Source organism: Homo sapiens, chromosome 13, assembly GCF_000001405.40.
Source record: "Homo sapiens chromosome 13, GRCh38.p14 Primary Assembly".
NCBI classification, from domain to species: Eukaryota; Metazoa; Chordata; class Mammalia; order Primates; family Hominidae; genus Homo; species Homo sapiens.
The window spans coordinates 40,340,428-40,367,917 of NC_000013.11; the positions used below are offsets into that span (position 1 = coordinate 40,340,428).

The window sequence follows — 27,490 nt, forward strand, 5'->3', positions numbered from 1 at the left end:
AAAATATTCAACAACAGGTACAACACGGCATCAACCACTGTGAATGGACACTAGCCACAGGCAACCAGTCTACCTTCCCCCATGGATACAGGCTGAATGCCAGGTCTTGGGCAGAAAAAATCCAAACTGCTGTGAACTTCTCCACCTGGTGGAAGGCACAGATGCCCTAGACACAGATGCAACTCCGGTCTGCTGTCTTTTACAGAAGGCTTTATTCTGCACATGAGGACAGCAGGTACACATGTAAGACTTCATGCAGTTTGCCTAGAAAATACCTCCGAAATGCATGGGCTGCACACATAGCTATGTACCCACTCCCTCCTGTGACAAGGATCTCTCAAGTCAGATGAAATTGCTGGCCGCTGTTTGCACATACTCTTTCTCATGTAATGCTCCTTTAATACCCAGAATAAGTTCAAAAGTGCCCAGTGTCTGCTTTTCTTGCTTGGGGCTTTCTTTGCCAGCCTCACAGTAGACTGAGGAATTCTAAACATGTGTCTGCGACCTGGTGAGGCCGCTGCTGTGTGAGGCCATATGTTTTATTGGGGTCTATATCCTGAGAGAGATACCAGAAAGAAACTCTGAGATGTCTGCCAAGTAAAAAAAAAAAAAAAAAAAAAAAAAAGAAAGGAAGAAGAAATCTGCCACTGATAGCACTCCAGCCAGTTTCTTTGTGGACAGTTGGCTTTACTAAAAGTTCTGAAATAGGAACACGCCTGCTTTAGACAGGCAAAATGTAAATAATATTAAACAATCAGAAAATCACCTCAAGTTTTCAGCAACTTTATAGAAGTAAAGAACATGTTTTGTTTTGTATTAATGCTCTCTTCTGGACAGCAGTCTTCTGCCTTTATCCCCAGGACACAAGGAATGAATGCCTAACATAACTTTGTCTTTGTTCCTTTCTCATCTATTCATTCAAGGAATGTTTATGGAGTGCCTACTCTGCATATTTTACTTTCTTCAGCTCAGAGGGTAAAATTGTGATCCCTAAATTTTGAAGGATGTGAATCAGTATATGTTATAGGAAAATAATGAGTTATTTCCATTTCTCTTTATAAATTTTGGAAATTCAACTATTTATGACTTTGTGTTACCTATTGGTGCAGCTCAGTATTTTATGACCCTGGTTTTTGTTGCCAGAGGGGCTTTTACTTAGCTCTTGCAGGAGGTTTGTGGCCAGAGATTAAATAGAGTCCTTCCTCGACCTTTCGATCTCAGGCTGATCCCACAGTGCAGAGGTGCTTGTAAGCTGAGGCCTGGGAAGAACTGCTGATCATATCATAGCCCCCTAAGGCCAACTCCCACTCCTTTTTCTTCCTTGGATGCCACAGCTGGGTCTGACTCCCAGGCTATTGGTTTCCATGGTACCTAGAGAAAGTTCTGGTTGCTTCCAGGTCTAGGCTTTTCTAGCGTATTCAGCTCCAAGGAGGTGACTTCAAACACACACCTCAATGTCCCCTGGCACTTCTCCTTAGCTATATGGTCTCAGACAAGACTTTTGAACTTTGCAAGCTTCAGTGTCCTCCTCTCAAAGTTGTGGGTGATGGCAGCTGACCCAGAAAGTTGTTATGAGGATTCAGTGAGTTTTCTCTAGGTGGACCCTACCCTTCTTACTCATTCCACACTATCCCCAGAAGACAGGATGGTGATGGGATGTGGAGGAGGGTGTGGAACTGTAAATGTACCATCTGCCCATTCTCCGTATCAGGAAATCTGGTTACATTATTGTATTAGTCTGTTCTCATGCTGTTAACAAAGGCATATCCAAGACTGCGAAATTTTTAAAGGAAAAGAGGTTTAATGGACTCACAGTTCCACATGGCTGGGGAGGCCTCACAATCACGGTGGAAGACAAAGGGGGAGCAAAGACACATCTTACATGGTGGCAGGCAAGAGAGCACGTGCAGGGGAACTGCCCTTTTATAAAACCATCAGATCTCATGAGATTTATTCACTATTACAAGAACAGCACAGGAAAAGCCCACCCCCATGATTCAATTACCTCCCACTGTGTCCCTTCTACGACACATAGGGATTACGGGAGCTACAATTCAAGATGAGATTTGGGTGGGGACACAGCCAAACCATATCAATTATCCAGCAAACTCACCCCGAACACAGTCAGTCACTGCTCCAGCCAAACTGGCCTTACTAAGCACTCAATCTCTGCCTAACTTCATTTTGCCAAATGGGTGACTAAGGCCAGCAAAGTAGCTCACGAGTTCTGCCAACTGGGAAACTCATCCCAGTGCTTCATGGAAAGCCCCCAATATGTCCATCAGGTCAGAGGAGACTGGTCTAATTTAGGGAGATTCGGCTGGTGCTGCTGTGCTGCCCTCTCCCCCTCACCCGCTCCACCGTCAGCACTCCTGTGCAACTCAAAAAGCCATTTGAAAACCCCCACTCCGGACCACTGGCTCCTCCACAGAAAGGAGAACTGCACTGAGGGCTTTTTGGGAGGCTGAGGTTTCCACTGTTCAGGAACACCTCGAGTCTGAGCTCTGGGAAAAACCGAGAGATCATAGAATCAACCACCTGCAGAAATCTTCAGAAACAAGAACATTCGAGAGACACAGCTCACAAGCTCACACCAGGTCCTTCCATATAGCACACAACTTCTTTTTTATTTTTTCCTGCTTTCTATCTGGACAATTATAGGAGCCTCCAGCTGTTCCTGTCAGTCAAATCACCAGTATTTCCCTTCTGGTCATACATTTTTCCTGAAGCAGCAGATTCACACCTGATGCATTAGTGCTTTTTATCACCTAGCAATATTTGTCATCCAAAGGGCTGAGTACCTCAGTTACCATCTATCAGGTTATATTTGTTTGCTGCTTTCAGCCAGTTGTCTCACTGTAACCTGCACTTTACTCACACATAATGGCTCTAAGCGAGAAAGTAGAAACATTTATTAGAGTTCAAAAATTCTTAGTTGTTGAGCTCCATCCATTTCTCTTTACTAGTATTTGTCCCTTCTCAGCCCCTTCTTTCCCCCACAGATCCAATTTTTCAAATAATTTCAGTTTCTGGACACATAGCAGGTGTTCAATAAATATTTGATAATCTGATTTAAGTCACCGGACATAAAAGAATATTCCAGAGAGCAGAGATGCTAATCACAGAATTGTAGACCTAGCAGGAAACTCTGAAATCAAACAAGCATCTCATTTTGGGGATGAGGAAAGGGAGCTATAGAGAAGTGAAGGGATTGACCCAAATTCCCACCCAGCTGTTTATGGGCAGCAGCGGAACCCAAATCAAGACTCTGCTTTCAACCCACATGACATCATAATTATGAAAATGTTTTGCTTGTTCTCTCCAAGGTCTGAATGTTCCAAGGTTCCAACCAGAATACAGTGTTGTTTTGCTATCACCTTGACCATGGGAGTTTGTGATTAATGTAACACTTTCCTTTCAAAGATGGGAAATTTTTAAAAGCTGGCAGATAAAAAACTAGAATTCCTTTGTTTGCCCAAGACAGTTCATTCAAGATTTTACAAACCTGGCTATATGCCAGAATTATTACCTGGGCAGCTTTCAAAGTACAATTTCTCCACCAAATCAATCTTTGGACTTGGCAAGACTTGAGAATCTGTCTGTTCGTTGCTTGTTTTGGATTCATTTTTGTTTGTTTGTTCTCCCAGTGATTCTGATGCACATCAGGTCAGGAGACTGCAGATCTAATGAACGTCAGCTCCTTAATCAACCCACACATGGATGGTGGTGTGTATTTGAAGATATTTGAGCAGGATGGCACTACTGATAACCAGTTCTCCTGAAATCACAAGTAAAGCCACCAATCAAAATACATGTCAAAAATAGTAACCTATAATAATGATGTTGAATATAAATCCCACTGGCTGGACCATTTGTTCTGGTCTGGGTGCCTGGTCAGTGGGGAGAAGCCCCAAGCACTGCCCTTTCTGACGCATAAGCAGCTGGTGAAGCTCTGCTGCTGTGGCTGAAACCTCAGACAGAGGCAGCAATAGAAGGGGAAATCACGAGGCAAGTGTAATTTAAAGCCTTCATATTTATGTAGACAACTCTTGTCTACATATAGTCCCAGCACTTTATCTCTCTTTTGGCTCTCATTCCCTCTCACCACCTTCTTTCCAAGTAGTTCCATGAGTTCTGGGAATGTCCAGAACTGCACATGCCCAGGACTGGAAACAATTTACCGAGTCATCTGTCAAGCCATAGTTCATGCTTTTCGATTGGTTTAGGTTACTAAGCAACCTCCTTGTCACTCAGGATAATGACCTGACTCTGACTTCCAGGAAAGACAACACAACGTGGGATCCTGGGTGCAGGAACACCATCAGGTGGGACTCTTGCCAACCTGGGTATGAACTCTGTGCGGTTGTACTGGGTCAACCATTTGGCCTCTCTATGCAAAATAGGGGTGAGAGGAATAGCTCTCCAGCTGTTATGACTTGAGATAATGCATATGAAGTACCTAGCACAGAGCCAATGCTCCCTAAACGGTTGCTTTTATTTACAACAGCATGAGAGCAGAAGAGCGACGGCCACAGGGAGTGCAGTGGGGGGCATGTTACATCTAGGACAGCCCAGTCATCGTCACAGTTAACAGAGAGGAGACAATTCCAGAGCCCTCCAGACTACTGCTCTCCCAGATGCCTCTGGAAAACTACATAAATAGCTGGCCTATGTTTGTGTTGTCCCAGTTGGCACCGGGAAGTTTGAGTTCAATGCATCATTTCTGCAAAGCCTCCAGTATCCAGAAAACTTAAGGCTGGCCATGGTAACTGGCCCCAGCATGGGCCCGTGTCAGTCCCAGGCTCAGCATCAGTGGCTCTTTGAGGCCATGGCCTTCACAGTTGCTTTCAGCGCTTGTTAGTTTATAAGCTCTGTCCATGACCTGGGGCCAAGGCAGCTGATGCTCTCCCAGCTCCAGGATGCCATTTAACACAGGGTTTTCACTTCTCCTTGAAAGACACTTGTGGGGAGAATGGAGAGGAAACATTCAGCCAATTGTGTGAAATTGCTCTTAAATATCTCTGCCAGGAAAAGCCAACAAGTCAAAAAGAGAGGTCCTGAGTGCTTAGCACTCTGTGCTTTTGAATTTAAAGTGAGAAGGGACTGGATGATTTCGAAGATTTAAGAATAAACCAGAAACCAGGGCAGGGACTCCTCCAGGACTTACTGGCACCCTTTGTGAACAAGGGCCCATGCCTTCACCGCAATTAATGTCTCAGAGTCCTCTTCTAGAAAGAGGTGGGATGGAGGATTCTCTTTGTAAACCTAGTAAGATTTAGAGCAGGCTACCTAGCTCAGAGAAATAGCACTGACTGCCAAAAGGCAGGGAGCACCCTCCTGTGAGGACTGGTGCAGACAATCGCCTGTAGCCCCGCTGGGAGTAGGTAGGCAGAATTCAAGGAAATACAGTCCTCAGCAGAGGCAAGCAGGGAGGAGAGCATGCCCAAGCCCAGGAGGAAGAACTAGGTGAGGCCCTCCACGCGCTGCCTGATGGCTCTTGATCAAAAAGCTCTTTCTATAAGGGGTGCCTGGTCTCTCTTCCTAAAAATCTGTGCTCAGCACTACAAGGAGTCAGATTCAGGACGTGGATGCCCATAGGCATTTTTATGCTTAATCCATAAAGTAGTTGGGGGAGGGGTTTGGGAAGAAGGAAAGCAGTGGCCGGAAGAGATCTGAACTGGTCAGGGCACACGAGCTGTTCAGACCTTTAACCCCGGCGGCTGGGCCTTGGGTTTGGCTTCCTTTGGCACTGTGTGGATGGTGTTTGAACAAAGGAGAAAGAGCACAGGCTTGAAACCAGGAAGCCTGCCTGGGGTTTTGGCTCTAGCTCCACGGAGCGATTTGCAGCCCGACTGTCAAAAAGCCTCAGACCTCTCTCTGCCTCTGTAAACTCTTGATTTATTTTGCACAGATATTACAAGAAGACTTATACCCTCCCAATGATCTAGTCTAAGGTGTGATCTGCACCACTTACATCAGAACCACTAAAAACAGATTCCTTAGCCCTACCCCAGGCCAGCTGAAACAAAAAATACCAGGGAAAGACTAAGAAATCTGTGTTTTAACAAACTCCCAGGTGATTCTTATGTACTGTCAAGATTTGAAAGTCACTGAGCAAGAGGATAGAGTCCAAACTCCTTAATACAATTCCATGGGCTTTACAATGTGCCTTTGGGTCCCATTTTCAGCTTCTCAGTCTACACCACGAACTGACATGTAAGTCCCCAAACCACAGGGCAGGCACTGGGATAATATTACATGCCTCTCAGGCATCTCAGAGCATCTCCACAAGCAAGTACTATTATCATGCCCATTGTACAGATGAGGACACTGAGGCTCAAAGAAGTCCAGTAACTTGGCCAAGATCACACAGGAAGTATGTTGCAGGGTCAGATTTGAATTCCTGTCTATGGGATTGATTGAAGAGTTTTGGCTCTTAACCAACTCTGTTACACCACATTCTGAGGTCCATTAAACATGCCTGGGTGTTCGTGCCTGTGTTCCCTGGTCAGCTGTCCCCTCAGCCTCACATGCCTCATAATACCCTGATCCTTTGCAAACATGGACTTCCAATGTCTTACTGGACCCAAAACCTCTCATGGATCCCACTAAAGAGCGTTAGCTATTTCCTCCTTATGCTCAGACTGTTTTTATTTATGTCCTGTTTCAACATTATTAAGACTTTACTGTGATTTTTTTGTTTATTTTCCGATGTCTTTTACTAGGCTTTAAAAATCCCTAAGACATGAAGGATGTATAGGGCCATGACACCACTCCTGATGATACTACAATGGTGGACGCATGTCATTATACATTTGTCAAAACCCACAGAATGCACAATGCCAAGAACGAGCCCTAGAGTAAGCTGTGGACTTTGAGTGATAATGATGTGTCAAGTTAGGTGCGTCGAATATGTCAAATGTACTGCTCTGGTGTGGGATGTTGATAGTAGGGGAGGCTGTGGTTATGTGGACCAAAGACTTAAAAAATAAAATCTATTTTTTAAAAAGCCTGGGCAGGCCAGGCACGGTGGCTTAAGCCTGTAATCCCAGCACTTTGGGAAGCTGAGGCAGGCGATCATTTGAGGTCAGGAGTTCGAGACCAGCCTGACCAACATGGTGAAACCCCCTCTCTACTAAAAATATAAAAAAATCAGCTGGGCATGGTGTTGCATGCCTGTAGTCCCAGCTACTCAGGAGGCTGAGGCAGTAGAATTGCTTGAACCAACGAGGTGGAGGTTGCAGTGAGCTGAGATCGTGCCATTGCACTCCAGCCTGGGTGACAGAGCAAGACTCTGTCTCAAAAAAAAAAAAAAAAAAAAAAAGCCTGGGCAACATAGCGAGAACCCCATCTCTACAAAAAATTTAAAAAATTATCCAGGCTTAGTGGCACAAACCTGTAGTCCCAGCTACTCCAGAGGCTGAGGTGGGAGGATTGCATGAGCCCAGGAGTTTGAGGTTACAGGTAGCTGTGATTGTGCCACTGCAGTCCAGTCTGGGTGACAGAGCAAGACGCAGTCTATAAAAAAAGAAGAAAAGCACCTAAGACTATGTTATCCACCTCTATGACTATACAAACCTATGCTTGACACATAGAAAAGGCTAAACAAATGCACATCAATGTCAGACAGCTGCTTTCCCAAAGAACTGAGGGAAACAGATCTGAGCAGGGCCTCAGCCATGATGAGCGGCAAGGAGGAGTCTAGGAGAAAGGGTTAAGTAATAGAAATTTTGGAGGAAGCCTCTACAGAGATAAGGAGAGTAGGTGCTGTGTCACCAGTTCTGAGGATAAAGTGAAGACTGGTGACTGTTTGCTGCATGGCTGGAGCTGCCAGGGAACAGGAGCAGGCCAGAGCAAAGAACAGAAGAGGCAGAGTAAAGAAAAATAGAAGAAAGGGCAGTGAAACAGAGGCAAACTGCAATGTCCAAAGGTGCCGTGGGTGCAAGTGTTTCTGAGTCTCAACTGTCGTGGAAGGCAAACAGGGCCATTAGCAGGGAAAAGAGGACCCAGCAGTGAGTTCCTGAGGCAGGAAGGCAGATGCCAGGAACATCAAAGGGCCATTCATCACCCAAATGCAATGCAAAGGGAAAAACCAGCAAGTGGGATTACGCCGCAGGAACCCGGACTGTAATATCACAGGGAACGACTCCAAGAGATGTTTTAACAGCAATTCAGATGCAGGCATTAAAGACTGTGACATAAGATTTAGAAGAGGGGCAATTAATAATTTATTTTGGAGGGAATATGTAGAAGAGGAAAAAAAAAAAAACACCCAGCACCCACTGGTATTACCTGTGTGGTAATACTATTGCGTAGACCAAGGATAAAAACACGTATGTTTACAAATGAAATGGTTGCTGAAGACACCTTGCCCTCTCACATGCTGGCTAAATGAGAGGTTGGGAAGAGCACGTCATCATTCTGCCCATGTGCGTCCACATCTTAGATCAGAGTTGACATCAGGCACACTTGGGTTGGAAATCCAGCTCTTTCACCTTCTAGCTCTGTGACCTTGGGTGAATTTCTTAATCTCCCTGAGGCTGTTTCTTCATTAAAGGTAAAAAGGGCATAGTAACAGTTATCTTACAGGGCTGTTGTTAGGATTAAATGAGATAAAGTATGTAAAGTGCTTTAGAACAGCACCTGGCATAAAGGTTCTGTCAAGGATGATGATGGTGGTGGTGGTCGTTATTCTAAATCTATGTAGACATCCTTTTCCCATTCCCCCAAGTAGATTTTATCTCCCAAAGGAGCCTTGGAAATTTGTCAGATTAGTTCTGTTGAAGATACTTTAGGATCTCTGTCTTATTCTGAGCTTTCTCCATGCAAGACAGTGTGCCAAGCCTAACTGAAATGCCTAAATAGGGTTCCTGCCCTACTGAAGCTTCCATTCTAGTGCCAGAAAAGGGGTGACAGGCCTTTCCATGGCCCAAGGCCATCAAGTTGCAGAAGTGGCCCATAAACTCCACAACCAACAGGCCCAGGGATCAGAGGAGGGTGAGATCTATCACCACTGGCGTCATGGAAGAAGGACAATTCACTAGACAGAATGAGTGGACACCAGAAATGCCAAGCCCACACAGACCTTCTATAAATCAGATTTTAAGGACAACTGCAGATGGACGAGTTGTATTTAAATAATCCTGGTCTGGGGCAATTGGTCCAGAGGACATGCTTGACCAAGGTGATCTGCCATTGTCTGGCCAGAGGAGAAGAGACAGACTGAGCCAGCTTGATGTAATGTGAAGGGATATGAATTGGAGTATGTGGCAAGACCAGCCAGAAGCTTGGAGGCAGACTCTGAAAAGAAGTCAGGATGCCATGTTGGGGCCACAGCACACTTTAGTTATGAGGAAGCCAAAGCTGGAAATGAGGCTAGGAGAGAAGTAAAGACATGATGAGAGAGAAATTAGGCAGCCCTTAAGGTGAGAGGGAACAACTGAGAAAGAATGATAGGAAGACAGTCAGAAAGAAGGAGAGACTGACCCATGGACAGAGTGACTCCTGGACAGACTGGCCAACAGAGACAGACCGAAGGAGAGAGAACAAACCTGGCGGACTGGGCTCCCTTCTTGAAGCCAGGCTGTGATGGGTACCTGGCTGCTAAGCTGGGGAGTGGGTCTTCAAGAAAGTGGGGCATAGGCTGGTGTGAGGAGAGGGGTCAAAGCGGTCAGATCTTACCTTTCAAATTTCTCTACATTTTCTTTCACATAATTATGAAAGCAACATACACTCCAGCACATCGTCTTTGTTTTCCTTGCTCCATGCTGTTCTCCAGCCTCCAGGTCACCTGAGTCCTCAGAAAAGCACTGTCACACACACACTTCACACTCTGAGAAGACAAGGACATGTTCCAGAGGAGCTCCGATGGTATTCTGGTAAGAAAGATGAGACAGGGACACAAATCACCTACATGGTTCGAGTATGTTCCAGGGCCTGTTGTATAGCAGAGGCAGAATAGTGCTGATGTCACAACTCCAGTGTGAGATGAGCTTTGGGGACAGTGGGTAAGAAGAGCTGGCTTCTGCCCCTGCCTTGGCCACAAAACTAGCTCTATGATCTTGAGCAATTGGCTTAACCTATCTGGACATCTGTTTATACATTTGCAAAATGAGGAGGTTGAACTGGATGTCTTCCAAATTTGCTTGCCGTGCTCACATTCTAGATGCCGTGATTCTAGGAACCCATGGTTATTTATATATCAGACTTTTTCGCAATGCCCAAACAGTGTTAACAGTGTTGCCAGCCATGTCAATAATATTTTATGTATGGTATTACGATGAAGTGAATAGGTTATTTATCCTCTCTCAGTACAACTTGTGCTTCCATACAATTCTGACGTGCACGGTAAATCTCTCCTCCTTTGAACTCCCAAAGCATTTCAATCTAGACACCTCTTAGAGGACTCATCGCATTCTGCTCTATAGCATGGTTATTCAGAAAAATGCCTTATTGTTCATGACTGAATGTTAAGCTCCCTGAATGCTTCCTGGAAACCCAGTTGCACAGAGAAGGAGGAATGAGGCTTCCGGGGATGCACTCACCTGGATAACCCCAAGAGTCCAAAATAATACCTTGCGTGGAATTGACGCTCAATACTTGCTCTGAACAAACTCGTAGTTGCGGAGAATGTAAAACGTAAAAGGAATTTGCCAGATGAGTCTAACAAATCTCCCATCCTTCACTTCTCTCCCAGTGCACCAGGATGGCCAACCTGAAAACTTTGCCTAAAATTAATAAGCATAAAAGGTGGCCTGCAGTCTCGCTGCTGCTAAAGGGCTTGGGGAGACAATGCCCAATGCAGAGAGAGGAGCAGTTGCTGAGAATGTCAAGAAGCAAAGAAACAGCAGGACACGCATAATCCTAGTCATGGAATGTATTTATGAGATGGCTCTCAATATACAAAAAGGGAATGCTATATGGACCTGGAGGAACCAGCCAATATCAGATTGGCTGGCAGGCAGTTTCTCACCTGAGAAAATGAGAATTAAAAAAAAAAAAAAAATAGAGTAACTATCAAGGACCCTCTCAAGGCAAAGTCCCCTTAAGCCATATTTTCTAATCATCCTGCAAGAAACTTCAGATTGGGGCCCAGTGGTTTTATTCGAACAAGATTTCATCAGTCCTCTAAATGTACAGGCAACTCTAGAGCCCTCTATTTCCTGGGCTTGCCCCCCATCTCCCCCTGCAGATGCTCTGGGATCCCGTTAATAATCTACTTCCAAACGGCTCCTCCGTGTCCTAACCCCTGGCCACCTCTACCCTACCTCCAGGCCTCATTCCCCTGCCTGCCTGGCTGAAGGACACAGGCCTCTTTTGTCATCAGCAATCCCTACACTTGCTGGGGTCAAGGACCCTGCCTCCTTCCTACTCCATTGGGGCCCACATCCTGCTTCTCTCCTTCCACCTCAGCAACCCTCCACTGTGCTGTCTCACATTCCAGACACCTTCTCCCCTCCCTTATTGCTTTCTTCCATCACTAACACTGACTCTAGAAGCATGCTCAGTCAGGGACCCAGGAGCGAGTGATTTGGGGTGTCCTGCAGTACACCACCCAAGCACCTGCTAGTCTGGATTTCTGTGAGCTGAAGTTTTGTTTGTGTAAACTTGCAAGCTGTTTTTTATTTTCCTCCTATGTTGATTCACATTAAAACAGTTACTGAGTTCAAACTTTGGGATGGGGGCGAAGGGAGTTTACTCAGCTGAGACTGGAGATGGCCAATGGGATGGCCAAAGGGCCTCAAACCTGCTGTTCCTGGACAAATGTGCATCCTCCCCAGCCTGCCTGCCGCGGGCACAGGGTGCTGGGCTGCAGCTAGCTTCTTCCCCAAGGACTGGTGGCCAGCCACAGATCTCAGGGCTGCTTGTTTCTGATTGAAAAACTCACAGTACAAACTCTCTCGGACTAGTAGGAAAATGAGAGGCTGTTAAGTACGGAGACCTCTGTGAATTGTGCCAAGAACTCTCTGTCACACGGCCCTAGTGTGCTGAAACAGGCTGGAAAGGCCAGTCTTACAAAAGAGTTAAATGAAGGCCACATCACCAGCCCGCTGCTGCTGCAAATCTGACAGGAACAGGACGTTCTAGAATGGCTCCACCCTGGAGCCTCAATCCATCAATCCCAGCAGAGAATACCCAGTGCCAGGCTCTAACAGCTGCCCGCAGACCCCCTCTCTCACCTCTCTGCCAGGCTCCTGCTTTGTCACCAGGCTCCTAATTAGCTATGGAAACAGCACACACTTTGCATTGCGTCACTTGCATCTCTCCGTGTCCCACACATCAGCATGCGTGGCACAGAGAGCCCGTGAGTTCAGAAAGACGCAGCCTAGTGCCCTAGTTGGCTATTGTTTATCATCCGTCTTGATAACTGGCATATACTCAGGTGGCCACACAGGTTGTGTCTAAAACATCTGGCCAGTTGTTGATCTCCCCAGATGTGTGGCAGTTGGCAGTGCTGGTCCTTGTCTCCCTTTAGCCTCCTACAAAAAGTAGTCCAGCCCCTCCCCTGGCATTCCTTCCTCATGCAGTGTGGAAATCAGTTTCTGGCAGCCTGCCCACAGCTGCCCCAGCCTGGTCCCTCTTCACAGCCCACCTGCCCCTCCACCAGTCATCCCCACGTGTGCAACCACATCCACTTCTGTCCTGGCACTTTCCATCAGTGGATTTATCTCTGTCAAGTGTTCCTGCCAAGCTTTTTTCCAAGGACTGCCTTAAGTACAGCAACAAGTATACACCACCCAGAGTCTCCCTGACAGATACTGGATGAGTCTTCCGACCAGGTAGTTTGTATTTTAGCAAGAGGAACCCAAATTTCAAATTCTCGTCCTAGCTGGTATTTCCCTTCCTGAAATACAAGGGCTCCCCAAGTACTTCTCCGTGACTGATCCATTTTTCTCTCTTACAGATGTCTACAACTTTCCTACTCCCACCCCCGCAAATTCCTCCAACACAGCTCCATCGATAAAAGTCATATTTGCCTTCTAAATCACAACCCAGAATTTTCAGAAAATTTCCATGACTTCATTGCAGGCTGCTCTTTGCAATGTCTTTTTTCCTTTGTGATTCTCTCCCACTGCTGCTGGTGCCCACCTGGTTCCTACCCTCACCTTCCCTGCAGAAGCTGATGGTGGAAGTGAAGATGATGATGGTGATGATGATGGTGACGAGAGCTAACATTTACTGGGCATCAATATTGCACTGGGTGCTGTTCTAAGCACTTTACATATAAGATTCACCAAGTCTTCCCTCTGCATGTTATTTTAGTTTTTCTAAACTCTTACCTGAGAAAACTACCAGAGTGCGCAGAGGAGGGAAGAAGCCATAATAGCCAATCAGATCAATATCAATATCTCTGATGTCCTGATTTGGCATGTTTTATGGTCTTTATCCCTCTATCTATAACTCCCACATATTCAGGCCTATGTCTTCTTGGTCCTGAACATATAACCTTGCTTTTAAACTAAGAAGTAATATTTCATTTTTAAAATTGCATGTTTTTATAAACGAAACATTGAATTTCCAATGGTAAATCAAGAGAACACAGATTTGGGATAAGAATGATACATATTTTTAAGTCCTGCCTCTGCCAATTACTAGCTTTGTGATTCTGGGTGTATTTCTTAATGCTTCTGAGACTTGGTTTCATTATGTATAGAATGAAAACAATACAGACCTTGCAGATTTTTGAAAATTGCAAGAAGCGATGTTTGCAAAGTACCTACCTTATTGCTCTGCACCTAATAGACGCTACAGAAATACCTCATCCTTTTCTAAAAAGATGTCTATTGTGTCAGTGTAGCAGGTGGGTATGAAAGGCACAGATTTCTCTTCAATACTTTTCTCAGTGCAACGTCTTTCCCAGAAACCGGGGGAAAACTCTTCATGTGACATACAACACAGAAGTCACCTTGTCCATAGCATACCAGAGCTAACAATTGTTATGCATTCTGCTCTGTGCAAATTGCAAGCCTAAAATCTTCCTTTTGTCCTCTACTTCCCTGGAGTCTCTCAGTGAGTTTACTCTGAGATCTGTATTAGGCTGTTCTCACATTGCTATACAGAACTACCTGAGACCGGGTAATTTATAAAAAAAAAAAAAAAAGAGGCTTAATTGGCTCACGGTTCTGCAGGCTGTACAGCAAGCATGATGCTGACATCTGCTCAGCTTCTGATGAGGCCACAGGAAACTTACAAATATGGTGGAAGGCAAAGGGGAAGCGCACACTTCCCACAGCCAAAGTAGAAGCAAGGGTGGGCAGGGGAGGTGCTACCCACTTTTAAACAACCAGAACTCACTATCATGAGAACAGCACCATAGGGATAGTGCCAAACCATTTATGAGAAAACCACCCCCATGATCCAATCACCTCCCACTAGGCCCCACCTTTAACATAAGGGATTACAAGTCAACATGAGATTTGGTGGGTACACAGATCCAAACCGTATCAGGATCCTCAATAGGATTTTGTCTTCTGACTTGTTCACCAGGCTCCACGTCTTGTTGACCTGAGAACACTTCAGGGTGGTGGGCACTTGAGAAAACAAGATTTGCAGCAGTGACCCCCAAAATATTGTCAACAGATGGACCATCAGCATCAACAACATTTGGGAGCTTGTCAGAATGCAAGTTCTCAGGCCCTACTCCAGATCCACTAAATCATGGGAGTCTGGAGATAGGGCCCAGAAATCAGTGTTTTCACAAACCCTCCAGGCAATGCTAATGAAGGCTCAGGTTTGAGAACCTACAAACAGAATAAGTGGTGGCAGTTCCAGCAGTATGACTGCAGATCAAAGGATCCAACCTCTGGAGGCACACTGTCAGCTGCCTCCACAGGTAAGGCCACTCACCATGGAAGGGAGACACCATGTCTCCTCACAGAGGCGTCCTTCCCCCCACACAGCCTCCGTAGCATTTCCCCTGCTGCTGTGGCTTAGAAGAGACAGCACACCTGAGACAGATATCTGCAAGCCCAACCCAGGTGCCCTGTTACTGCTCAAACACAAGGTTTGGAATCTGTTCTCCTAAACACCACTCTTTACTCATCCTGAGACTGGGGAAGCACCTCCAACTTGCACCTGGTTTATTCTCACTCAGCAGGGAGTGGAACAGATAAACCAAAGGTGTTATCAGTCACCGCCCAGTCACCCACACTCTCTCAGGTGAAGCTGTGTCTTCCACAGTCCCAGGAGCCAGGCTAACCAGTTACAATTCTCCCAAGTCAGCAGGAAGCAAGGAACAGGAAAGGTCAGCGCTCAGAGCTCCGACTGTAATTAATAACCCAAAGGACGTATCCCAAACACCCTTCTTCCTCCATAGAAAATGCTCCTTTTCAAGCGCTATGGTTTGAATACTTTTGTCCCCTCCAAAAGTCACGTTGAAACTTAATCCCCTCCAAAATTCAGCTGTTGCCAATGTGACAGTATGAAGAAGGGTGCCTTTAAGAGGTGATCAGGCCATGAGGCCTGCTCCCTCGTTAATGGAATTAAGGCCCTTTTGAAAGGAGTTTCATAAAGTTCAGCTAGATGCGCTCTTGCCCTTCTGCCTCCTGCCACGTGAGAATGCAGTAAGAAGGCCCACGCCACATGCCAGTGACTTAATCTTGGAGTTCCCAGCCTCCAGAACTGTGAAAAATACATTTCCATTCTTTATAAGTTAGTCTGTGGTATTCTGTTATAGCAACACAAGTGGACTAAGGCATCAAGATTGTGGAAGAGGCCAGGCACAGCAGGTGTGGTGGCCCACAGCTGCAACCCCAACACTTTGGGAGGCCAAGGCAGGGGATTACTGGAGGACAGGAGCTCAAGACCAGCCTGGGCAACATAGCAAGACCCTATCTAAAAACATATATGTTAAACATTTAGACGGGAGGAGCCAAGATAGCCGAATAGGAACAGCTCCAGTCTACAGCTCCCAGCGTGAGCGACGCAGAACACGGGTGATTTCTGCATTTCCATCTGAGGTACTGGGTTCATCTCACTAGGGAGTGCCAGACAGTGGGCGCAGGTCAGTGGGTGCACGCACCGTGCACGACCCGAAGCAGGGCGAGGCATTGCCTCACTTGGGAAGCGCAAGGGGTCAGGGAGTTCCCTTTCTGAGTCAAAGAAAGGGGTGATGGACGGCACCTGGAAAATCCGGTCACTCTCACCCCAATACTGCGCTTTTCCGACGGGCTTGGAAAGCGGCGCACCGCGAGATTGTATCCCGCACCTGGCTCGGAGGGTCCTGCGCCCACGGAGTCTCGCTGGTTGCTAGCACAGCAGTCTGAGATCGAGCTGCGGGGCGGCAGTGAGGCTGGGGGAGGGGCGCCCACCATTGCCCAGGCTTGCTTAGGTAAACAAAGCAGCCAGGAAGCTCGAACTGGGTGGAGCCCACCACAGCTCAAGGAGGCCTGCCTGCCTCTGTAGGCTCCACCTCTGGGGGCAGAGCACAGACAAACAAAAAGTCAGCAGTAACCTCTGCAGACTTAAATGTCCCTGTCTGACAGCTTTGAAGAGAGCAGTGGGTCTCCCAGCACGCAGCTGGAGATCTGAGAACGGGCAGACTGCCTCCTCAAGTGGGTCCCTGACCCCTGACCCCCGAGCAGCCTAACTGGGAGGCACCCCCCAGCAGGGGCACACTGACACCTCACACAGCAGGGTACTCCAACAGACCTGCAGCTGAGGGTCCTCTCTGTTAGAAGGAAAACTAACAAACAGAAAGGACATCCACACCAAAAACCCATCTGTACATCACCATCATCAAAGACCAAAAGTAGATAAAACCACAAAGATGGGGAAAAAACAGAACAGAAAAACTGGAAACTCTAAAAAGCAGAGCGCCTCTCCTCCTCCAAAGGAACGCAGTTCCTCACCAGCAACGGAACAAAGCTGGACGGAGAATGACTTTGACGAGCTGAGAGAAGAAGGCTTCAGACGATCAAATTACTCTGAGCTACGGGAGGACATTCAAACCAAAGGCAAAGAAGTTGAAAACTTTGAAAAAAATTTAGAAGAATGTATAACTAGAATAACCAATACAGAGAAGTGCTTAAAGGAGCTGATGGAGCTGAAAACCAAGGCTCGAGAACTACGTGAAGAATGCAGAAGCCTCAGGAGCCGATGCGATCAACTGGAAGAAAGGGTAACAGCGATGGAAGATGAAATGAATGAAATGAAGCGAGAAGGGAAGTTTAGAGAAAAAAGAATAAAAAGAAATGAGCAAAGCCTCCAAGAAATATGGGACTATGTGAAAAGACCAAATCTACGTCTGATTGGTGTACCTGAAAGTGATGCAGAGAATGGAACCAAGTTGGAAGACACTCTGCAGGATATTATCCAGGAGAACTTCCCCAATCTAGCAAGGCAGGCCAACGTTCAGATTCAGGAAACACAGAGAACGCCACAAAGATACTCCTCGAGAAGAGCAACTCCAAGACACATAATTGTCAGATTCACCAAAGTTGAAATGAAGGAAAAAATGTTAAGGGCAGCCAGAGAGAAAGGTCGGGTTACCCTCAAAGGGAAGCCCATCAGACTAACAGTGGATCTCTCGGCAGAAACCCTACAAGCCAGAAGAGAGTGGGGGCCAATATTCAACATTCTTAAAGAAAAGAATTTTCAACGCAGAATTTCATATGCAGCCAAACTAAGCTTCATAAGTGAAGGAGAAATAAAATACTTTACAGACAAGCAAATGCTGAGAGATTTTGTCACCACCAGGCCTGCCTTACAAGAGCTCCTGAAGGAAGCACTAAACATGGAAAGGAACAACCGGTACCAGCCGCTGCAAAATCATGCCAAAATGTAAAGACCATCGAGACTAGGAAGAAACTGCATCAACTAACGAGCAAAATCACCAGCTAACATCATAATGACAGGATCAAATTCACACATAACAATATTAACTTTAAATGTAAATGGACTAAATGCTCCAATTAAAAGACACAGACTGGCAAATTGGATAAAGAGTCAAGACCCATCAGTGTGCTGTATTCAGGAAACCCATCTCACGTGCAGACACACACATAGGCTCAAAATAAAAGGATGGAGGAAGATCTACCAAGCCAATGGAAAACAAAAAAAGGCAGGGGTTGCAATCCTAGTCTCTGATAAAACAGACTTTAAACCAACAAAGATCAAAAGAGACAAAGAAGGCCATTACTTAATGGTAAAGGGATCAATTCAACAAGAAGAGCTAACTATCCTAAATATATATGCACCCAATACAGGAGCACCAAGATTCATAAAGCAAGTCCTGAGTGACCTACAAAGAGACTTAGACTCCCACACATTCATAATGGGAGACTTTAACACCCCACTGTCAACATTAGACAGATCAACGAGACAGAAAGTCAACAAGGATACCCAGGAATTGAACTCAGCTCTGCACCAAGCAGACCTAATAGACATCTACAGAACTCTCCACCCCAAATCAACAGAATATACATTTTTTTCAGCACCACACCACACCTATTCCAAAATTGACCACATACTTGGAAGTAAAGCTCTCCTCAGCAAATGTAAAAGAACAGAAATTATAGCAAACTATCTCTCAGACCACAGTGCAATCAAACTAGAACTCAGGATTAAGAATCTCACTCAAAACCACTCAACTACGTGGAAACTGAACAACCTGCTCCTGAATGACTACTGGGTACATAACGAAATGAAGGCAGAAATAAAGATGTTCTTTGAAACCAACGGGAACAAAGACACAACATACCAGAATCTCTGGGATGCATTCAAAGCAGTGTGTAGAGGGAAATTTATAGCACTAAATGCCCACAAGAGAAAGCAGGAAAGATCCAAAATTGACACCCTAACATCACAATTAAAAGAACTAGAAAAGCAAGAGAAAACACATTCAAAAGCTAGCAGAAGGCAAGAAATAACTAAAATCAGAGCAGAACTGAAGGAAATAGAGAAACAAAAAACCCTTCAAAAAATTAATGAATCCAGGAGCTGGTTTTTTGAAAGGATCAACAAAATTGATAGACCGCTAGCAAGACTAATAAAGAAAAAAAGAGAGAAGAATCAAATAGATGCAATAAAAAATGATAAAGGGGATATCACCACCGATCCCACAGAAATACAAACTACCATCAGGGAATACTACAAACAACTCTACGCAAATAAACTAGAAAATCTAGAAGAAATGGATAAATTCCTGGACACATACACTCTCCCAAGACTAAACCAGGAAGAAGTTGAATCTCTGAATAGACCAATAACAGGATCTGAAATTGTGGCAATAATCAATAGCTTACCAACCAAAAAAAGTCCAGGACCAGATGGATTCACAGCCGAATTCTACCAGAGGTACAAGGAGGAACTGGTACCATTCCTTCTGAAACTATTCCAATCAATAGAAAAAGAGGGAATCCTCCCTAACTCATTTTATGAGGCCAGCATCATTCTGATACCAAAGCCAGGCAGAGACACAACCAAAAAAGAGAATTTTAGACCAATATCCTTGATGAACATTGATGCAAAAATCCTCAATAAAATACTGGCAAACCGAATCCAGCAGCACATCAAAAAGCTTATCCACCATGATGACGTGGGCTTCATCCCTGGGATGCAAGGCTGGTTCAATATACGCAAATCAATAAATGTAATCCAGCATATAAACAGAGCCAAAGACAAAAACCACATGATTATCTCAATAGATGCAGAAAAAGCCTTTGACAAAATTCAACAACCCTTCATGCTAAAAACTCTCAATAAATTAGGTATTGATGGGACGTATTTCAAAATAATAAGAGCTATCTATGACAAACCCACAGCCAATATCATACTGAATGGGCAAAAACTGGAAGCATTCCCTTTAAAAACTGGCACAAGACAGGGATGCCCTCTCTCACCACTCCTATTCAACATAGTGTTGGAAGTTCTGGCCAGGGCAATCAGGCAGGAGAAGGAAATAAAGGCTATTCAATTAGGAAAAGAGGAAGTCAAATTGTCCCTGTTTGCAGACGACATGATTGTATATCTAGAAAACCCCATTGTCTCAGCCCAAAATCTCCTTAAGCTGATAAGCAACTTCAGCAAAGTCTCAGGATACAAAATCAATGTACAAAAATCACAAGCATTCTTATACACCAACAACAGACAAACAGAGAGCCAAATCATGAGTGAACTCCCATTCACAATTGCTTCAAAGAGAATAAAATACCTAGGAATCCAACTTACAAGGGATGTGAAGGACCTCTTCAAGGAGAACTACAAACCACTGCTCAAGGAAATAAAAGAGGATACAAACAAATGGAAGAACATTCCATGCTCATGGGTAGGAAGAATCAAAATCGTGAAAATGGCCATACTGCCCAAGGTAATTTACAGATTCAATGCCATCCCCATCAAGCTACCAATGACTTTCTTCACAGAATTGGAAAAAAATACTTTAAAGTTCATATGGAACCAAAAAAGAGCCCGCATCGCCAAGTCATTCCTAAGCCAAAAGAACAAAGCTGGAGGCATCACACTACCTGACTTCAAACTACACTACAAGGCTACAGTAACCAAAACAGCATGGTACTGGTACAAAAACAGAGATATAGATCAATGGAACAGAACAGAGCCCTCAGAAATAACGCCGCATATCTACAATTATCTGATCTTTGACAAACCTGAGAAAAACAAACAATGGGGAAAGGATTCCCTATTTAATAAATGGTGCTGGGAAAACGGGCTAGCCATATGTAGAAAGCTGAAACTGGATCCCTTCCTTACACCTTATACAAAAATCAATTCAAGATGGATTAAAGACTTAAACGTTAGACCTAAAACCATAAAAACCCTAGAAGAAAACCTAGGCATTACCATTCAGGACATAGGCATGGGCAAGGACTTCATGTCTAAAACACCAGAAGCAATGGCAACAAAAGACAAAATTGACAAATGGGATCTAATTAAACTAAAGAGCTTCTGCACAGCAAAAGAAACTACAATCAGAGTGAATAGGCAACCTACAAAATGGGAGAAAATTTTCGCAACCTACTCATCTGACAAAGGGCTAATATCCAGAATCTACAATGAGCTCAAACAAATTTACAAGAAAAAAACAAACAACCCCATCAAAAAGTGGGTGAAGGACATGAACAGACACTTCTCAAAAGAAGACATTTATGCAGCCAAAAAACACATGAAAAAATGCTCACCATCACTGGCCATCAGAGAAATGCAAATCAAAACCACAATGAGATACCATCTCACACCAGTTAGAATGGCAATCATTAAAAAGTCAGGAAACAACAGGTGCTGGAGAGGATGTGGAGAAATAGGAACACTTTTACACTGTTGGTGGGACTGTAAACTAGTTCAACCATTGTGGAAGTCAGTGTGGCGATTCCTCAGGGATCTAGAACTGGAAATACCATTTGACCCAGCCATCCCATTACTGGGTATATACCCAAAGGACTATACATCATGCTGCTATAAAGACACATGCACACGTATGTTTATTGCGGCATTATTCACAATAGCAAAGACTTGGAACCAACCCAAATGTCCAACAATGATAGACTGGATTAAGAAAATGTGGCACATATACACCATGGAATACTATGCAGCCATAAAAAATGATGAGTTCATGTCCTCTGTAGGGACATGGATGAAATTGGAAATCATCATTCTCAGTAAACTATCGCAAGAACAAAAAACCAAACACCGCATATTCTCACTCATAGGTGGGAATTGAACAATGAGATCACATGGACACAGGAAGGGGAATATCACACTCTGGGGACTGTTGTGGGGTGGGGGGAGGGGGGAGGGATAGCATCAGGAGATATACCTAATGCTAGATGACGAGTTAGTGGGTGCAGTGCACCAGCATGGCACATGTATACATATGTAACTAACCTGCACAATGTGCACATGTACCCTAAAACTTAAAGTATAATTAAAAAAAAATAATAATAATGCAAAAACAAAACAAAAAAAAAAACAAAAAAAACATTTAGCTGAATGTGGTGGTATGCCCCTGTAGTCCTAACTTCTAGGGAGGCTGAGGTAGGAGGATCGCTTGAGCCCAAGAATTTGAGCTATAGTTAGGTGTGATGGCACCACCGCACTCCAGCCTGGGCAACAGAGTGAGATCCTGTCTCTAAAAAACAAACGAAAAAGGATTACAGGTGACCTCTTCACCCAAACCCAATGGATTTGACTGTCAGTAGCCCCACCTTCCCTCCTGCCTCCAACCTAACCTCCAAGGGTTCTGTCTTCCTCTGACTCACCACTCCCCACCCCTGCCCCACAGTCTGGCTGCCTATGGCTTCGCTTCATATTCCAGTCCAGAGAAACTCACACTCCATGTTTGCAACTACCCAGTGGGTAGCTCAGGAGCCCTGAAGTTTGACTGGAAAGGAAGTGATGAGGCCGGCATAAGATAACGTGAGTGAATCACTGAAATGATTCTGTTCTCTTAACTCTAGAAGTCAGGAGGCTTTTTTTAATTAGGAAATTTGAGAACTAAAAACTATGGAAGCGGACAATGTAGCCGACAGGGAAGGTGGCCACCTTCCTGCTCTAGCTCCTTTATTTCCCACTCACTAAGAAACTCTGCCCCAGCCCTCCTCCTCCTCCTCGGCGTTTTCTTCAGTTCCATGAGCCACCAGCATCTTTCCAATTAATTAAGTAAACCTGAGTAGGTCTCTTGCCTGCAAAGAGTCTGATGGATAACCCCTTCTCAGAACACCACTCAACTCCCAGCTCTTCCTCAAAGACCCACACAGACCCCTCTCGGATCCCCTTCACTTCTCATTTGGGCCTCACTGATCATCTCTGACCTAAGGTAACACCAGGCATTCTATACCACGTGTGCATGGCCATAAGGCATCATGAAAACCCTGCAGCGTCAAAGGGACCTGCATTTGAATACTGTCTAACCACGATTTAACTCTCTGCCTGGGAGATGTTATTTAACTTACCTTCTGAACTGCACTTCCTGGGGATACTGAGCAAGAAATGAACAAGAAATGCATGGAGCCCAGTCCACTCTCTGCCAAACGCTACATACACAGCCAGTGTTCCTATCTTCCCTGACTACTTGATGTCCCGTTTTAGATGGATGGTTCTTCTTGAGGCAAGGACTACGGTTTATACCTCTGTATCTAAGCACCTAGGAGGTGGGCTTTGTCTTTGGTGTTGTCATCTCATGCCCAATCCTAATCCCAGCCATTGCCTGTGGAATCAGCAGGAGCACTTTGACATTCAATGATAATGGTATTAATGACTGTAATTGTATTTGCCATGAGTTGTATTTGGAACAAATGTCTCTAACTGTATTTTTTAAAGCTTTGTTTTGGTTGCTATTCTATTAATATGCAGCTCCACAAAAGCTAAGAACTAGAAGAAAAAATCTATAAGAAATCAGAAGCAGGATGAAATTCTACCCAAGTGTTTAATCATCCCTAGAGTCGTGTTATTCTTCATCATGACCTAATCTTTCCTGCTGAAACTTCATCTCATTTTCTATGACATTCTACATTTTCATAATATACTTTAGATAGCCTCCAAGCCACTTTTCAGCTTTTATCTCCAGCTTATTTTACATTGTTCTCATAGCAGCTCATAGTAAGCACTATGCTAAGCACTTTGCATATATTTTTACCTTAATTCTTATAATGATTTATGACTACCTCCTATACTATATAAACATTATAAACATTATTATTATCACCATTTTATAAATGAGTAAGCTGCGGCTTAGAGGTCATGTACCTTGCCCAAGGTCATGCAGCAAGTAATTAATGGTGTCAGCGTCTGCACCTGAGTAGTCTGATGCCAGCACACAGACTGCGTCAGAGATTCCATAACTTCCATAACTTCTAAGGTTTTAATGTTCTTGTTGGCCTTTCTCTCATTTCTCTTTATCCATCATGATAAATGTACACCAATATTGATAAGAACTATCCTGATGGTAAGAATGGGAAAAAGATCTTAGTGTCCACGAGGACCATGTTTACAGCACAGAATAGCTAACGAAGAGGCATCAAAAAGAACCCAACTCATGCAATTAAATAATTGCACGAATTACTGGACAAAGACTTGTGGCAGCTAGAACCTCAAGCCAACGCCTGACATTAAAGAATCCCTGCTTGTAATTAACAATAACTCTGATTTCATGAGCAGCTACGATGTGCTTTTTAGCACAAGGCACCCTGCGGATGGCCCTTGTAGATGAGAAAATGGGAATTCAGAGTCATTAGGTGACTTGCTCAGAGTCATGTAGCCACAAGTGGCAGATCTGGTATCTATTTTATTTTGACCTCTGTTTTAGCCCAGAGCCTGTGCTGACCACATATTCTCCAGAACCCAATACCATCACCTGATGGCCATGGGCAACACCTCTCGTCTATCTCAGAGACTTGGTGGGAGGATGGTCTGCACACCCTCTCCCCATAACATAAAGAATTCATTCATGTCACCTCTGCCCACATGCAGCTCAGCCTTCTATTCATTCACCCACTATTCAGGCAGTGGATGCCAGAATTTTAACACCTTATATTTATAGAAGGTTTTGCAGTCACAGAAGCTTTTTCAAGATGAAGCTCAGGTGAGCTTGGTAAATCAGTGAAAGGCTCTTAATTTAGTGTTCTTCCCATTTTGCCTTCCTCTCTCTTGTCAAAAAGTGCTATCTGCATTTAAAAAAAAAAAAAAAAACTCTGTTGTGGTGGAGGTTAGTGAGAAAAATTCAGACCTCATTTCTCCTCTACCAACCTGAGATACTTCCCCCTGCCCCAAGACAGAGTCTTGCTCTCTCGCCCAGGGTGGAGTGTAGTAGTCCAATCTCCGCTCACTGCAACCTCTGCCCCCTGGGTTTTCAAGCAGTTCTCCTGCCTCAGCCTCTGGAGTGCTGGGATTACAGGCATGCGCCACACGCCTGGCTGATTTTTTTATTTTATTTCTTTTTTTTTTTCTAGACAGAGTTTCGCTCTTGTTGCCCAGGCTAGAGTGCAATGGCATGATCTCAGCTCACTGCAACCTCCGCCTCCTGGGTTCAAGCTATTCTTCTGCCTCAGCCTCCCCAGTAGCTGGGATTACAGGCACCTGCCACCATGCCCAGCTTATTTTTTGTATTTTTAGTAGAAACGGGGTTTCACTATGTTGGCCAGGCTGGTCTCTAACTCCTGACCTCAGGCAATCCACCCGCCTCGGCCTCCCAAAGTGCTGAGATTACAGGTGTGAGCCATCGCGCCTGGCCTAACTTTTGTATTTTCAGTAGAGACGGGGTTTCACCAGGCTGGCCGGGCTGGTCTGCGAACTCCTGACCTCATGATCTGCCCGCCACGGCTTCCCAAAGTGCTGGGATTACAGGTGTCAGCCACCGCACCCAGCCCTGAGATGCTTTTTAAAGTAATCTTTTTATGCTATGGTGGGGACAATTTGTAAAATACCTCCTTACTGTCTGTTATGTCCCAAAATCCAATTTGTGAAAACCCAGTTGCCAGAGTGCCCCCAAATGGCTTCCATCAAACATTGGATATTGAAAAGGCATGTGTCTATGTGACTAAAATGACTGCAATACCCCTTCCAATTTCCCTGGGACCCATAGGACACTACACTCAAAGGCTTGTGGCCCGAGGTTGCTTGTCACCCCCCAAGAGTAGAGGAAGCAAATGACTGGATAGCAGAAAAAAGATAGAAATCTTTTCAAGGGCTTGTCAACGTGGGATCCAAGTTTTTCTCTCCTGGTGGCCTTTAAAATCAAGTGAACTGCTCAAGCAGAAAAGAGTTATCGGCTCCCTCATTGGGGTCTATGAGTCAGGCCACGTGTTGGGTGTTTTTTCTGCTGCAATGGAGGGGCTAGTATTACATCAATGGCATAAAAGAGACTTTATTCATTGAAAGCATCCAAAATAGAAATGTTGCTGTAAAAGTAATTAGACTTGAATTTAAAAGGATCAGTTCCTCATTAAGGGTTTCCTCAAAGGCTTTTTACAAGCTTACAGCTCAACTCTAATCTCCAGTGTCAACTGTGCAAAGGAGCAATGCAGAGATGCATATTCACATCCTAAGAAGTGTGCCCACTGGTTTCACCGAAAAAGCACAGGGAGGATTTCACCGTACACAAATATAAATACGTGCTCGTCACCACCAGCAGCCCATCCCACACCCCTGAAATGTAGACCCAGGAGATCAAAGTCAACTCTTACACTTATAAAACCCAGAAGAAAACTCTGTAAGTCATGTTTAGAATTACAATTCGTTATTCTCGAGCTGCCTGAAATGTCAACGGAAACCCTTAATTAATAAGTTAGTTAGTTAAGATCATTCATTGTAATTCCCTATCAGTAATTTCTGGTTGTTTACCATGTGTCTAGCTCTGTTCTAGGTTTGAGGATACAAAGATACATAAGACACATTCCTGCTCTCCCAGAACTCAGTCTCTAGCAGGGTTTCTCAAAGTGTGTCTGCATTGGCGCACACATGCAACTGAGTGAAGTAAAGCTGAAAAGTACGAAGCAGCAGGTCTGATTTTCAGACTCCTAGGACCACTGAATTAGAATCTTTTTTTTTTTTTGAGATGGAGTCTCGCTCTGTCACCCAGGCTGGCGTGCAGTGGCACAAACTCAACTCACTGCAACCTCTGCCTCAGCCTCCCGAGTAGCTGGGATTACAGGCACCCACCACCACACCGGCTAATTTTTGTATTTTTAGTAAAGATGGGGTTTCATCATGTTGGCCAGGCTGGTCTTGAACTCCCAAACTCAGGTGATCCGCCCGCCTCGGCCTCCCAAAGCGCTGGAATTAACAGGCATGAGCCACCGTGCCCAGCCTGAATTGGAATCTTAATCAGAACCTCAAAGCACAGGTTCAAGCATCTTTTTGCAAGTCCTCCAGGTGACTTTTATGTACACAGAAGTTAAGTTATAGGCACTGTAATTTCAAAGCATTTGTAAATAATTTGTGAATTTCAATCCTGGGCTTTCTATTGCAAACCCATCTCTTAAGAGAATGGAAACAACCCACTCTATCCTACATGAGCTGCAGAATCAAACCTCGCCAGTTGATTACAGTAGACGTCTCTTGGTTCTCCCTTCTCTCAGTGAGTCTCTACACCTCCCATGCTCCACAAGGCCCACCACAAGCCCCCAACTTATCTATGTGGGGGTGGGGAACTCGCTGATGTGGGTAAGAGTTAAAAAGCATGTTGGAATCAGACCTGGGTTTAAATCCTAGCACTTTCGTTTATTGGTTGTGAAACCATAGGCAAGTTACTGGGCCTTTTGTTTCCTCTGTGAAATGAAGATAATAATAGTACCCTAGGGCATAGGAGCATCAGGGTTGGAATGAAATAATGCATGCAGAGAGCATACACATGGTTTTGTATACAGTGAGCATTTATTAAGTGTTGTTACCGTGGTTACCAAAGTCCTAGGCAGAAGTCTTTTGGGGTAATGGTTCAGAGAGCTCCAAAAAAATCCCACAAAGTTCACACCAGGCTAGCGTTTTCACTGAAAGAGGCTCAAAAGTCATGAAATGTAGGCACCTAAATGTAGACATGAAT

At 44.7% G+C, this 27,490-nt stretch overlaps 1 long non-coding RNA gene across 2 annotated transcripts in view, besides 1 other annotated feature; it reads right to left on the reverse strand.

Moving 5' to 3' along the window:
• Nucleotides 1-6,704: 6,704 nt before the first annotated feature.
• The window catches only part of LINC00598 (long intergenic non-protein coding RNA 598), a 133,873-nt gene continuing 113,087 nt past the window's right edge, over nt 6,705-27,490 (reverse strand). For both annotated transcript variants that reach the window (NR_024506.2, NR_024507.3), the window contains one exon: nt 6,705-9,875. This is a non-coding gene — a long non-coding RNA (long intergenic non-protein coding RNA 598, transcript variant TTL-B1). The remainder of the gene's footprint in view (nt 9,876-27,490) is intronic.
• Nucleotides 11,951-12,450: an enhancer, noted in NCBI's record as "H3K4me1 hESC enhancer chr13:40926515-40927014 (GRCh37/hg19 assembly coordinates)". NCBI's record gives its function as "activates a minimal SCP1, AML or CMV promoter by ChIP-STARR-seq in naive H9 embryonic stem cells {active_cell/tissue: H9 hESC(naive)}" and the evidence as "EXISTENCE:reporter gene assay evidence [ECO:0000049][PMID:30033119]".